General features: G+C 44.9%; 1 annotated feature.

Moving 5' to 3' along the window:
* Positions 222-816: an enhancer, noted in NCBI's record as "OCT4-NANOG-H3K27ac-H3K4me1 hESC enhancer chr4:27077097-27077691 (GRCh37/hg19 assembly coordinates)". NCBI's record gives its function as "activates a minimal SCP1, AML or CMV promoter by ChIP-STARR-seq in naive and primed H9 embryonic stem cells {active_cell/tissue: H9 hESC(naive and primed)}" and the evidence as "EXISTENCE:reporter gene assay evidence [ECO:0000049][PMID:30033119]".

Consider the following 15,860-nt stretch of genomic DNA (forward strand, 5'->3'; position numbering starts at 1 on the left):
CCATCCAGCTTTGTTCCGTCACTGGTGAGGAACTGCATTCCTTTGGAGGAGGAGAGGCACTCTGCGTTTTAGAGTTTCCAGTTTTTCTGTTCTGTTTTTTCCCCATCTTTGCGGTTTTATCTACTTTTGGCCTTTGATGATGGTGATGTACAGATGGGTTTTTGGTGTGGATGTCCTTTCTGTTTGTTAGTTTTCCTTCTAACAGACAGGACCCTCAGCTGCAGGTCTGTTGGAATACCCTGCCGTGTGAGGTGTCACTGTGCCCCTGCTGGGGGGTGCCTCCCAGTTAGGCTGCTCGGGGGTCAGGGGTCAGGGACCCACTTGAGGAGGCAGTCTGCCCGTTCTCAGATCTCCAGCTGCATGCTGGGAGAACCACTACTCTCTTCAAAGCTGTCAGACAGGGACATTTAAGTCTGCAGAGGTTACTGCTGTCTTTTTGTTTGTCTGTGCCCTGCCCCCAGAGGTGGAGCCTACAGAGGCAGACAGGCCTCCTTGAGCTGTGGTGGGCTCCACCCAGTTCGAGCTTCCTGGCTGCTTGTTTACCTAAGCAAGCCTGGGCAATGGCGGGCGCCCCTCCCCCAGCCTTGCTGCCGCCTTGCAGTTTGATCTCAGACTGCTGTGCTAGCAGTCAGCGAGACTCCGTGGGCGTAGGGCCCTCTGAGCCAGGTGCGGCATATAATCTCGTGGTGCGCTGTTTTTTAAGCCGGTCCGAAAAGCGCAATATTCGGGTGGGAGTGACCCGATTTTCCAGGTGCGTCCGTCACCCCTTTCTTTGACTCGGAAAGGGAACTCCCTGACCCCTTGCGCTTCCCAAGTGAGGCAATGCCTCGCCCTGCTTCGGCTCGTGCACGGTGCACGCACCCACTGGCCTGCGCCCACTGTCTGGCACTCTCTAGTGAGATGAACCCGGTACCTCAGGTGGAAATGCAGAAATCACCGGTCCTCTGCCTCGCTCACGCTGGGAGCTGTAGACCGGAGCTGTTCCTATTCGGCCATCTTGGCTCCTCCCCCCATAAACAACTTCTTAAATTCAAAAAGTGAAAAACAAACAGTTAGTTAAAATGGGCAAAATGGTTAAGAGATAATTTACTGAAGTGGAAACATCAATTGCTAATAAACACATGTAAAGATGGCTAACCTTACAAGTAATAAGGAAAATGCAAATTAAAGTTAACATTAAGCCAGGCACGGTGGCTCTTGCCTGTAATCCCAGCACTTTGGGAGGCCAAGGGGGGTGGATTATCCGAAGTCAGGAGTTTGAGACCAGCTTGACCAACATGGTGAAACCCCTTCTCTACTAAAAACACAAAAAAATTAGCCTAGCATGGTGACGTGCACCTGTAATCCCAGCTACTCAGAAGGCTGGGGCAGGAGAATCACTTGAACCCAGGAGGTGGAGGTTGCGCTGAGCCAAGATTGCAACACTGCACTCCAGCCTGGGCAACAGAGCGAGACTCCGTCTCAAAAAAAATAATAATAATAAATAAATATATAAATAAAGGAAGCAAGCTAAAATTAGGCATTATTTCACACCATCAGGTTGACAAAAACTCAAACTAAAAAGTATGATGGTACCAAGTTTTGGTTAGGATGTGGGGTAATGGGACCTCTTATCCATTGCTGGTAGAAATGAAAATTGTTACAGCCACTTTGGAGAAAAATTTGGCAACATCCAGTAAAGTTGAAGATATTCATACACTATTACCAAGAATTACACTTCTAGATACATACCTGATATGAATTCATATATATAATGTGCATACATACATATACACACATTCATATAGATATATGTGCATATCCATACATATATCTACATATAGACATATATATATATATATATACACACACACACATATGTCAGGAAACATTAAAAATAATCATAAAAGTATGATTTACAATAGTAAAATATTGGAAACTTCCTAGTGTCCATTCGGGGAGAAATAAATTAAGCTCTATGATGGAATTTTATATCGCGGTGAAAAAGAATGAACTAGAGCTTACATGAATCAATATTGACTAACTCCACAGACATAATGTTGATTAAAGAAAGCAATTTGCAAATAAATATTTGTAGTAATAATATCTACACGAATGTTCAATGTATTCAAAAATTCTGTAAGTTGAGTAGAGATCTTTCTCTCTCTCTCTCAATAGGTAGATAGATGGAAAGAGAGAGAGAGCTATCGAATGAGAGAGAAAGAAGAAAAAAATAAATGCAAATAAATGATAAATCTCTAAAATCAGGACGGGGTTCTTCCTGGGAGGAAAGAAACAGGGGAGGAATCTAGAAGGGTCCTATATGGGGGATTTAACTATGTTGGCTATGAATTAGTTTTGAAGTTGGATGATGAATACTGGGTTATTTATTACGTTATCCTTTAAGCTGTTTTGTATGTCTTAGATATTCCATAATAAATTCAACAGCACTGTTGGTTATCAACCCAAACATGTATCCTTCCTCAGGGACAAATCAGGATTGATTCAATCCAGTCACAGTATTCCATTTCCCTTTGCCACATACTCATTTATCCCTTCTCCCTTTATATATAAGGAGTGGAAAATTATCTATTTTTAGACCTAAGAAGAAGTCAGTTGGAGGAGGAGGGCATGGTTCTGGAAAGCTTTTACTTTCAGATTTAAAAAAATCCTATTGGCTCCACCTCTTCCTTCCTTCTTGGGACACTAACATGAGGATGTGATGTCTGCAGCTGTGGCAGCCATCTTGCAGTCATGAGGTGACAAGCAAGGCAAATGCAAATTCAAAGCAAGAGGGCAGAGAGCCAACACGCTGAGGATGGTAGAAGAAAAGAATAGTCAGAGCCTTGGTATCTGATGACAGCTGAGGCACAGAGTGGACCCTGGAACCAGGTAGAAACCACAGACTCCTAGATTGTTTCTTAAAGAAACTATAATTGTCTTAATGGTTCAGGCAACTTACTGGTGGTATTGCTTTCCATTACTTGTGGTCAATAACTTACCTGATACATAATGCGAATCACTTTCCTTTTAGGCTTATTGTTGGGATTGCCGTCTATGAAAACATTAAGCCCTTTCTCTCCTTCCAATCTCTACTATTTCCTCCACATACAAGGTCTCTTCTCTTCCTGGTGAAATCCTCACTCCTAAAAGCTCTTCCGAAATGTGTTCTCGGTGATGTCTTCTTAGGGTTCTGAAATGAGCAACTCTCTTCCTTGTCTGCAACCCTAGACATTTTCCCTGTGTCTGCATTCTAGCCCTTAGCCTGCACAGCTGCACACTCCACCACTGTCCCGGTGAGGCAGGGCCTGTGACGTTTTCATTTCTGGGTCTCAATGTTGGCACAGTTCAGGGAACATCACAGGGGCCTAACGGAAGCCAGTTAGAATAAATGATTCTCTTGTATCAACATCTTAGAGGGAAAACAATTCAAACACTGAAGTGGGTGGTGAGGAGGAAATGTATAGGGAAAGAGACCAACGGCCTTCCCATAAATAAACACTGCAAAAGGAACGCTTTTTAAAACAGCTCTTAATGCAATATTACATCAATCACATTCACATTTGCTAATGATTTTGTGTGTTCGATAGAATCTCATTTAAGCTCACTAGCCTGTTTAAATCCTGGCTTCCTTTTATTTCCTCATCCTAATCAGATTTAAGTGACAATTGCAAAGGACCTATTTTGTAAGGAGATAAATGAATGCATAGGTGATCCTGGATGCTTACAAAGTGGTTGCTGTCCCCAGGTTTGAACTACGAAAGTGTGGGCAACCTTTACTATTGGACAGAGACCCTTGTGTGCTGGGTAATACAGAGACACAGCAAAGGCACGATTTAATTCAAATGGACTTAAACATGGGCTCTAGTACACTCCTCTGTGTCAGTGCATCATGAGACTAGAACAGGGATTACATGAGACATTTTTTCTGTCTCCTGAAAGCCTTTTATGTATTTTCTTTTTTAAGTAGCTGCTGTGCTTGTGAGTGTGGAAGGGGGTCAGAGATGAATGAATGGCGAAGTGCATAGATATGCAGAATAACCTCCAGACAGCAATCTAGTGAAACGTCTGCATTAACTCTTGATGTAGCCAGGGTGCTGGGGCCATTAATTGGCACAAGTGTTGAAGAGGACAGGCATTAGCTAAGAGAAGATTCCAATTGCAAAAGGAATAGGCTGAGGCATAAAGCCAGTTTGAAGCAGTTCTTCATTCCCAGAGGGTCTTTTGAAAATCCTTATTTACGCAACTGTAGGTGAATGATAATGATATAGCATTCTATTTTATTTTATTTTATTTTTGAGACTGAGTCTCACTCTGTCACCCAGGCTGGAGTGCAGTGGTGTGATCTCAGCTCACTGCAACCTCTGCCTCCCAGTTTCACTTGATCCTCCCACCACAGTCTCCTGAGTAGCTAGGATTACAGAAGTGCACCACCACGTCTGGCTAATTTTTTTGTATTTTTAGTAGAGACGGGGTTTTGCCATGTTGGCCAGGCTGGTCTCGAACTCCTGACCTCAAGTGATCTACCTGCCTTGGCCTCCCTAAGTGCTGGGATTATAGGCGTGAGCCACTGTGCTTGGCCTGATGCAGCATTTTATATAATACCCAGCATTCATGGAGCATGTGTATGCACAGTGCATTACATGGATTATCTCATCTAAATTTACAAAATAACTATCTATTTTTATTTTCATTTGGCAAAAAAGAAAACAGACTCAGTAGGTTGTTTTCTTTGATAGATCCAGGGATCATAGAACCAGTAATGGGAAGACACTCCCATTTTCCTGAGAACTGGTTATAACTATTGCTTTGTGCTTTTGGCAAATGTTGCCTCCCCCTTCAGAGTTCTAGGAGGGAAGGTGCCTGCACAGACAAGGAGTCCAGCTGCCTTCTGGGCATTAAAGCACCCATACCTCAACCTCTGCTGCCCAAAAGTTGACATTCGGGGAGGGCGATTCCAACCAAGGCCCAGGGACAGTGAAGGGCAACAGAGTCCTTGAAAAATTTTACTATCAGGCTGGAGAGTTGGGATCAGTGGGCTGGCCAAGATCAGGAAGGAAGAATCAGGCATGGTCGTCCTGGATCTGAGATGTCATGGTTGCTGGAACCTGGCCTGGAACTTGTATGGGACTTAACAGCATCTTCTGCCTTCCTATTGCAGATGGCAAGAACGTAAGATACATTTTTCCTATGAATCTTTTTGCCTATGTGTTGTCTTCCATGGCCCCATTGGACCTCACAGGTTATCACCTCCATTCTGCACAGCACAGAAGAGGATTCCTGACAGCCAGACTCTTCAGTCTGCCTCAGGGTAGACTCACAACTTCAACCCCATTAGCTCTATCTGTTCCCACTCTCTTGTGAGCACACCCTCTTGTGCCTGCTGACCTCCCATCCTCTGGCCCTACTCCTTGCTCATCCCAATGCATCTGCTTTTTCTCTGTTTCCTTGGGGTCCTGTCTCTTTCCATGTTGAGGACCTTCATTAAGTTTTAGTTCTTTAATTAAAAAGAAGGTGCCAAGAGAATGGGACCCAGAAATTTAGGAGCAAGATATGGGAGCAAGGTGGCTATTTCCAGAGCACCGAACACAACATGGCTGGCACCTTCCTATTCTGTACACATGACACCCAACTATCCTGAGTGTGCAACATGAGACAGAACAGGGCCCGGTGGCGGCTTCTCCTTCTCATCTCTGTGTGTGAAGCCTTCACCCCCAGACAGGCATAATGTAGTAACTTGGCACAAGAGCTCAGCTTGTGTTCTCTTTAGGTTTTGGAGAGGAGCTGATTCTCTGAAGTTCTACCCAAACCACAGCTGCCCTCTGGGAAGTTAATCGGAAGAGAAGTGAGGGAAGTTTGGTTTGGAAGGCAATAGGATCAGTGTGCACCAAATGGATTTGATGACTGGAGTTAACCGTTTAAAATTTTCATTGGCAAAAACGGATATATTAATTTCTATGGACACATTTCCTAGTTCATGTATAGGCCTGGCTCATGCAGCTCATTAGCTAGCTCAACTTGACCCACGATTCCAGTGGCAATGACCGGCTGGAACAGGCTTGGGTTAGGGGTGCTCCTATTTTAATTCAGCAAATGTAGAACAGCTGTCCACCCTGTAGACCTGCCCTAGCTTCTTAGGGAAGGTCATCAAGAGTCAGCATCCTGGGAGGATGGCTTGGGCACTCCCTCAAAGAGCCCCCTCCACTGGCCACTCCTCCCTCTAGTAAGTGTTTGTTAGCCTTTGTCTTCATGCAAAAAAGAACACAGTTGTTTTGTGAAAGAAGCAAAGAGAAAATGACCTTACGGAATATTCTTGTAAACTGACTGTTGTCCTTTCAAAAGAGACTTTGTCATGTGTATACGATGAGCCCTACCCTGTATCAGCAATTAGCAATTGATGAAATGCTCTTCACTTCACACTTACCATATCCCAGGCTGGTTTCAGAGGGAACGACTATGTTATTTCTTGACTACTGCATTCTGGTTTGTTTGGATGAGTTTGTTTGCTTTCTCTTGGTTTTTCTTCTTCCTTTGCTTTAACACTCTTTAATTACCCTCTCTCTTGGTTTTACTCACTGCTGTACGGGGAAAGAGAGGCAATAATAGGACCCACTAGGGACCTGGCAGAGTTAACTTCTAACCAGGGCTTTCTCACTAGCTATTATGAGAGAGGGCAAGTCCCTTCATCCCCTTGGAAATCCACCATCTGTCAAGCGAGGCCCCTGAATTAGATTCCTGTTAGTTTCCCTTTTGGTTTTGACATTTCTGGTTCTGACACTCTTAGTCCCCCTCAGCCAGTTAAGGCATTTTATCTGTGCAAGTTCTTTCAAGAGGACATCTATTTGTTGTAATTTAATGTAGCTTCATTATGATAAGTGCCTCTAAGTAGTTTTCTCTTATTCTGGATTTTTTTTTTTAATGTGGCTTTTCCCTATGGTATAATCATATCTGCAAAAGCCTGAGTCTCTGGCTTGTACAGACAGAAACTAACCTCACTCTTAGTCCTTTGCAAAGGCTTCTGGGGGTTTCATTTCTCAGGGAGGCATCAATTCCAGCATGTCCTCTTGTGGGTCGTGTTTCTTGCACTCTGCACTGGCCAGTTAGCAGTGAGCGTGCCGTGCATGAGGAAATCATCTTCCAGCTTTAGGGCTGGCCTCCAGTTCCTGCTCAGGCTGGTGCAGCTCTGGGTGTAGCTTCCTTGAGATTTCCCAGGAAACATGTCTGCACTGCATGTGCAGCTGTGGTTTGCAGTTATTCAAAGGTAACATGCATAAGTCTGGGTGTATTAGGACTGAGTGCAACCTGACTATCAAAGTCTACTCTCAAGTACTGAATGTCCACCTGTTCACAAGGCTGCTAGCTTGTGAAGGCTGTGGTGCCTCCAGAGACATTAGGCCACCCAGATATTTGCCATATAGGACAAGCTCAGAGTAGCTGGAGAGGGCGTCTACTGCATTACCTGCTCAGTCCCTCTGTTTTAAGAACTGCAAAGGTAGGCTACTCCTTATAGCCATGTTTGCTTCTTTGCCCCCGATTAACAAAAGGTGGACACTTGACCCAAGTTTAACCAATCAGAGATTTTTTCCCTGAGAATTTAGATTGGGATGGAGAAAGAGAGTCACTCTTTCTGGGTAGTTGGATTGCCCCAAAGACAAGGTTTGCTTGGCGGATTCTCCCAGGCAGAAGCAGAAAAAACTTATGTTGCAAGAGAGAAGAAGGAAGCAGCTATGTGTGTGTTTTTTGGGGTGGGGGTTGCTGAGATGAGAGATAGAGCAATAACACTGCTCCCAGTTCCTCTTCCTGGGTCCTCCGAGGTCTGGATCCATTTCTGTTCTCAAGACACTGTCCCATAGCTTGGGTTAGTTTCTCTCACTAGCAAACAAAATAGCTCTTTCCATTAGGGTACTCAATTATTCTACTTAGATACGTATAGGCTGGAGACGTATGCTGAAGAAAATTATTTCTTCCTATACTACTGTGCACTTTACCACTGTTCATTCATTCATGCATGCATCCATCCATCCATCCATCCATCCATCGATTTAACAGAGATATATTGAGCTGTACTATGTGCTGGGAATTGTGCTAATCTCTTTGGAGGGACTGGTGACCAGTGTAGACATAACCTGGCCTCAAGAAGCTTACAGTCTGCGGAAGAGAGATAGTAGATTTGTTGTCTGCAGCTGGCAAGTTAGTTACTACAAACTTGGAGGCTTAAAGCAGCAGAAATGTATTCACTTACAGTTCTGGAAGTCAGAAGTCTGATGTCAAGGTGTCAGCAGGGCCATCCTCCTTCTGAAGTCTCTAGGGGAGAATCCTTTCTTACCTCTTCCAGCTTCTGGTGGCTCCAGACATTCCTTGGCTGTGGCTGCATCACTCCAGTCTCTGCCTCTGACTTCACATGGTGTTTTCCTTTTTCTCTCTGTGTGTCTCCTATAAGGACACTTTATTGAGTTTAGGGCTCACCACAATAATCCAGGATGATCTCATCTTGAGTTCCTTAAGAGAAACATCTGCAAAGACCCTTCTTCCAAATAAAGTCACATTATCAGTTTCCAGAGGTAAGGACATGGACAAATCTTTGTAGGAGCCACCATTCCACCCACTACAGAGGGTGAACACTTGTTAGTGTGGAGAGTGTTACAAAGGGGACTCGTAGGGTGTTCGAAAAATTGGTGGGACAACCTCTTCTTTAGGCATCAGAGGAAGTGGTATCATCTGGAAGCAGAAGGCAGAGTAAGCCCCTGCTAAACTGTAGGCAGGCAGATAGGCTCAAAGAAAGACAGAGGCCCAAGAGAGCAAACAGCTCCCAGGGTAAGAGGCAAGCCCAGCGTGGCTGGAACACAGAGGCTGTGTGGAGTCCGTGGAGGGGCAGAGAGTGGAGCAATACAGAGAGACAGGTGGGTTCTGATCTTGCAGCTCAGCGTGGCTGGAACACAGAGGCTGTGTGGAGGCCGTGGAGGGGCAGAGAGTGGAGCAATACAGAGAGACAGGTGGGTTCTGATCTTCCAGCCCATGTGGCTTTGTGCAGAGCTTTGGATTCCACTGCGGCAGCGATGGGACTTTGTAGTATGGTTTTAAGTGGAGTAAAGTGATCTGCTTTGCATTTTAAAAAGATTTCTTTGGCTCCTGTTTTTTTTTTTCTCCCCAGCCTTCAACTCCTTAATTTTGTAATAATTGCCAACAATATTGTCGGTGGGAAATCCCTGGCGATACAGGGAGGCTTAAGCAAGGAGAGATGCCTAGGTCGGAGCTCATCAAAAGCCTCCCTCTCAGCATCTAATTTGCACCTCCACCTTGCCCCAGATCCCCTTCTGCCTTAATTTTGGTTTTGAAAATTGTAAATCAGTTAGTATTAGCTCAAGGCCTCAGATAGCAAGGACAATTTAATACTATGAAAAAATAAGAGGCATCTTCGCTGTTCTGACATTTATTATTCCCGGACTCGTTATTTTTCCTAATGAACGTTTCTTTCTCTCCTTACGCTTATCGGTTTTAACACATGCCATTTACCACCTCCCACCCGCTGATTAGGGGGCTGGAAACGGGCTTACATCACTGTCAGGGCAGGAGAGGAAAAATTGCAAAGTAAACGGCAAGATGTTGCCGCGATAGCGAGCAGGAAAATCTGCAGTGCTTAGGAGAATGCGGGACCCAAATGAAATTCCGCGTCTCCCCGCGGCGGGTGCCGCAGAGCCACCGGCGAGGGGCGGGCGCCACCACGTGACTGATTATTCAAATGGACCGATGATTAACTCGGTTTATATTGATGCAAATAATCCTGCCGGAGCCTGCAACGGCTAATGCATTTTGGAACTGTGGTTTTTCCATTGATAGCACAAAATATTGTAGAGGAAAGCCATTTTCATAATATTAATAATGGAATTACAGAATCAGGTCACTTAAAGGAACGGCGCTGACTCAGCGACAGCAGCGTGGAGGTTGAATGTGGGGATTAGCACTGAGCAAAACGAATACAAACCTTTTGCAGCGATCTCATTGCATAAAACGCACATCCCCTTCCCTTTTTCTTTTTAAAAGAAAAAGAGCTTCAGAAATGACCGTGGCTAAGTACAATTCTCAGATGAATTTATTACAAAGAAAGAAACTATCCAGTGAGCTTAGGGAGCCCCCAGTAAAATGTTTTTCCTTTTTTCCCCTTTGATTAAATTCCTTTGATTAAATAGTGGGTTTACCTTCCTTGCTGCCCGTGCCCTGGTTTAATGTCCCAGAACAATGTCTGCAAATGCTTTCTAAATGAATGATTCGAATTGCAAATGAAGATCAATGAATGCCCTCTAAAAGAATGAGTATATTTCTCAATGAAGATCTAGGGCTGAGAGGAAATTCTGCGCAAATCTCTCAGGGTCTTCTGCTGTGTGCTGAAGCCGAAGTGAGCTCCTGGGATCCTCGTTGGGTGGGAACGGGGGAAGACAGATGGCAGGGTCCAAGGAGATTGGCTCTTTCTGTAGACACGAAAAAGAGCCTAAAAATATCCAGAGGAGGGCACAAAGATGTATACATGATGATGTTCACTGCAGTGCATTTGTAAAAGTGAACCAACCAGAACATTAAGGCATAATAAGATATAACCAAAAATGGAATATTATGCAGATATTAATAGGAGAAACTGTTCATGATATATTAAGCTAAGAAGCAAATTCCAAACATTTTTAAAGGAAAGCCAGGGCTCCCGTTCTGTGCATTTGTCCAGGCCACATTGGCCCACTATCCTAGGATCTTGATGACTACTCCTAAAATAGTGTGGAAGCCAACCTGATGAAGAGTCAACTGCTTCTCTTTTGCAGTCTAAGGAGGGAACTGGAAAAGACTTACAGGGCAAGAAGGGACTTGGCAGGAATTCAAAGGTGCTTAGTAATGAGTGCATGCCATGCTTTAAAAAATTATGATAAAATACACACAACAGAACATTGATCATTTTAACGATTTTAAAGTGTGCAATTCAGTAGTATTTTACACCTTCACAATGTTGTGCAGTCATCACCACTGTTTAGTTCTAGAACATTTCCATCATCTCCAGAGGAAACCCCATGTTCATGGAGCACCACTCTCCTTTCAGCCCTGGGCAACCTCTAACCACATGGGGCTATTTTCCTTTTTAAAATTCTTGTCCTTCTTCTGTCTCCCATTCCTATTTTCCTTGACTATTAACCTTTCTAGAATTCTTGACTAGCTAGTCACTTGGCATGAAGGCAGTGGGGAGGAGTGAAGGGACCATGGCTAGCTACTCTAGGGCTCCAAATTTAGCATTCTTCCTCCACTTATGGGCAGCGGTATTGCTTAGTGGCTGTGAATAAGGATCCCAGAATCCAACAGCCTTGGTTCAAATCCTGGAACCATATCTTATTTCTAAGTTACCACTCCTCTAAGCCTCAGTTTTCTTGTCTCTAAAATGGGGACAGCAAAAGAACTCACCTCATAAAGTGGTAAGAGCAAATGATTTTTGACTGGTGCTTAGAACATGTTTGACCTAGCGTAAGTGCTTAATCAATGTTTGTTGTTACAGTAATATGAACTTCTTCAAGTAGTTTCTCTGATATCTGGATGATGAGATTGTAATAGCTGGTTGAGACTGAATAAGATAGGATTTGCAAGCTGGTTGTCCCATTGATACCCAACAGGTGTAGGTGTCTTTTGGCAAGAGTTTAAGGCAAAGGCAAGAGAAGGTCTCCTGTCCACTGACTTCGCTGCTTGCACAGGATCAGGGATTATTTCCATTTTTTACCACCCATTCTGCTGTTTAAAATAAGTAGCCTCAGGTATTTGAGTTACCAGAAAGGAGTCCAGATCCAGACCCTGAGAGAGGGTTCTTGGATCTTGCACAAGAAAGAATTTAGGGTGAATCCATACAGTAAAGTGAAAGCAAGTTTATTAAGAGAGTAGATGAATAAAAGAATGGCTGCTCCAAAAGCAGAGCAGCCCCAAGGGCTGCTGGTTACCCATTTTAATGGTTATTTCTTGATGATATGCTAAACTAGGGGTGGATTATTCATGCCTTCTGTTTTTAGACCATATAGGGTAACTCTCTGACGTTGCCATCACATCTGTAAACTGTCGCGTGCTGGTGGGAGTGTAGCAGTGAGGATGACCAGAGGTCACTCTCATCGCCATCTTGGTTTTGGTGGGTTTCAGCCTGCTTCTTTACTGCCACCTGTTTTATTGGCAAGGTTTTTATGACCTGTATCTTGTGCTGACCTCCTGTCTCATCCTGTGACTAAAAATGCCTTAACCGTCTGGGAATGCAGCCCAGCAGGTCTTAGTCTTATTTTACCTAGCCCCTATTCAAGATGGAGTTGCTCTGGTTCACACGCCTCTAACATTTGGACAAGTTTCTCACATGATCTGATTTGTCAGACTATTCCCTGACAACCCAGTAATCTTCCCTGATTGTGTTCTGGTTTATCATTGTCCTTCTTAAATGTGGGGCTCAGAGTTGAACCCAACAAACTTCATCTGGAGCTGCTCCTCGTTCCTTTTGAAAATTTGCATTTTGGTTAATCCAGGCTTCCCCACTTCCTGCCCCATTCAAACTTTATTTGTGATGGAAATCTTTAGATGTTGAGAACAGGGAGTGACAATGCAAGTCACTAAAGGCTCGGCTGAGCAGGACCCTGAGTGCAGTGTCAGAATTCTGGCTGAGGCCTTGACCTAGCCCCTGCCTACCCCTATGTCCCCAGTCCTCACCTCTTACACCCTGCCCCTCTCACCATCCTCTACTCATACTGGTGACTGCTTTTCTCCAAACATGCCACACTCGCTCCATGCTCAGGTCCTCTGCTCTTGTTTGTTCTGCTGTTGAGATGGCTTTTCCCAGTATTCTCATGGTTGACTGCTTTATACTTCATTTAGGCTCTGCCTAATGTCATCCTTTTGGGGACTTCCTCTGATCACAACAATATTATATGTCTCTCTCTAGCCCCATCCTGCTTTATTTTCCTCTAGACTACTTAGTTTTACATGATACTGACCTATGTTTATTTGCTCATTGTTAGAACTGTATCTCTTCCCTACCAGATTACAGACTCCACAGGGCAGGGACCTTGTTAGTCTTCTTGGTCTTGTATTCCTAGTGCCTAGAACAGTGCCTGGCACATAGTGGGTTCTCAATAAATATTTGTTGAATGAATAACTCAATGGTAGTCATTAGTGGTGCTGAGAAAGAAAAATGCAGCTCCTGACAGCCGGAAGCTGGCCTGACACTCAAACAGGGCCACAGTGTTCTCTGTAAACACAGACAATTTCACAGAACATCAACAGCAGACAACACAGCCATGCTGTGACCCTGAGAAATCATGACCAAGACGAGACTGAGAGCAGACAAAGTGAGGACATTGTCCAAACCACAACCAACAACCAATCCTTCCTCATTCCTGGCCAATGCGAGTGATTGCTGTGTCTTTAGGGAACCCTGCTCTTCCTGCCTTCTAGATGAGGACAATCAATCACAGAATTACTCCCACTTCCTGTCACTCTTCTGAGTGGTTCCAGCTCCGATTGACATGGCAAGGTGTTGGGGGAGGGGCAGCGTTCTATACTCCTGTGATTAGATCTGAGTCTTCCAGTGATCCCGTGTCCCTGGGCTGTGAGCTCCACAAGTGCTCCCTCCAGCTGTCTCCAGAGCAAAGCCTGGCTTCCTTGAAACCTTTTCACCATCCCCCAGTACAAACCCCAATCTTAAAACCAGGCCTTTCTATCACTGTCTTGCTGAGATGGGGCATGGTTCTCTGTGGTGTGTTGTCTTTCTCTTTGCAATGACTCGACAGACCCAATCACAAGTGTGTTCCTTGATGGTCTTTGACTACTAATAAAAATTATTATTTTTGTCATTATTGATCTTGGTATCTACCACTGCAGTTCTGGATACCTTGCAAATTTGAGACATTGCCTTTAATATATTCACCTGAGAAAAATCTATCAGAGCCGAAGGCCTCTTAAGCTCACCATTAGAGGTAGTCTGCCGGTCTGCACTGATTACTGCAGCTCGTAGCTGCTTTATCTCATTATAAAGCCAGCAGTAGTCCACAGGTAGAGCCATGTTGCATGAGATCATGGGCCAGATCAGTCTTCTTGGTTGTATCTGTCTCCTTCCATTGTTACCAGTGGTGAATCTGGACTGGTCTGCAGCAACTTGATCCTTGTCTCCTGAGAGGAAAGAATTTGGCCAAGGGGCATAAGGCAGGTTGAGACCAAGGCAGGTTTTAGAGCAGGGGGGAGAGTTTATTAACAAGTTTTAGAACAAGAACCAAAGGAAGTGAAGTACGCTTGGGAGAGGACGACGTGGGTGATGTTGAGAGCTCCCAGTGCCCCATCCTACCCTTGACTTGGGGTTTCATACATTGGCATGGTTTTGGGGTTTGTGTTTCTTCTCCCCTGATTCTTCCCTTGGAGCAGGCTGTCTGCAGGCGTGGTGCCCTGCCAGTGCTTGGGAGGGGCCACACGCAGTGTGTTTACAGAAATTGTGCACGTGCTCACTTGAGGCGTTCTTCCCTTACCAGTTTAGTGTTCCTAGAGGAAGGTCATGTACCAGTTAAACTCTGCCATTTTGCCTCTTAGTGCACATGCCTGGGCACACTTGCCCAGCTCCTGAGATCTTTTTGGGAAGCGGCTGATCACCAGCTTCAGGTGTTTTCTGTCTACTAGGAGACTGCCTTTCCCTGGCAGTGGCAGCAACCAATTATTTTACAGAGACAGTTTAACAACCAACTGGCCATAAGCTCTTGATGGTTGGCTGACATTCCTGGTGGCCAGGGGCTGGCATGGGGGCAGGGCAGGGTGCCTCTTCTGCCCTGCTCATGTCAGCCTAGCCACCTACTCTAACACCATCACTTTTCCCAGGCTGTCACCATGGCCAGATTGCTTAGGGAGAGAGTTGCTTTCTCCCTACCTGTATATGGAGCCCGAGTTGCCCACCTTTCTCTGCTACTGTTCCTCCCTTCTCTGCTCTGGCAACAAATATCTATTGAGCATTGTCTATGGGCCAGGCCTTCTGTGAGGTGCAGTGCTCTTCCTGGACATGGGTGGGGAGAGGAAGTTGTAGTAAATGCCTAATGATTTCTTTTAAAAGGGCACATATGTGAGCAGAGAGTGGCGAATCCTATACCCACCTGGAATGTGTGAGGGGCGTTTGGGAGAGTGGTGAGCAAGCGGGTAATCTGGAGGCACCGAGAGGACAGGCATCTCCTGGAAATATTTCTGTTGGCGTTCTGCACAGAGAGAAAATTTTGCATTAGGGATGCTTTCATCTTTTTAAAACCACCAAAGGCTTTCCTCCTACTTGATTATTGTCATCATGTGGTGTCATTTTGCATTTGTTAAGGCACCTGGTGGGGTGGCTGCACAGAAACTTCCCTCAGCTGTGTTCCTGGCAAAGAGGGGATGCTACTCAACTCCCTGGTAGCTTTGCTAAAGCAAACGTAACCACCTGCAGGATAATGGGAATGTTGTGCTCCTTATTTTTAGCAAGCAGAGCCGAATGCGGTAAGCAAAGGGTGATAAATACCCCTTTACACTAAACGTTTTACAATAATGAAAAAGCAACCTCTGTCTTAAAATTGGCCATTCTTTTTCATGTAATTTTTTCCCCCTTAGAGCCGACAAATTGACTAAGTCAGGGTGGCAGACGTGGCTTTCACCAGCCCTGGATAGATTTAACGGGGGCTCACCCACTGGGGCATGCAGACTTTCTGGCTGCGATCTTCTGTACACATTTATCAGGAGGCAGACGCGGGGAAATGTTGCTGGCAGGAAGCAGCCCCAGAGAAAGTATTCACCTTTGTGAGTAAATAATTCCCAGCCCTGAGAGCGGCTGGGATATAATACAAAGCCCCCACTGGTGGTCTCCTGTGGGCTGGTTCATTTAC

The sequence above is a fragment of the Homo sapiens genome, chromosome 4 (genome assembly GCF_000001405.40).
Source record: "Homo sapiens chromosome 4, GRCh38.p14 Primary Assembly".
Taxonomy (NCBI): Eukaryota; Metazoa; Chordata; class Mammalia; order Primates; family Hominidae; genus Homo; species Homo sapiens.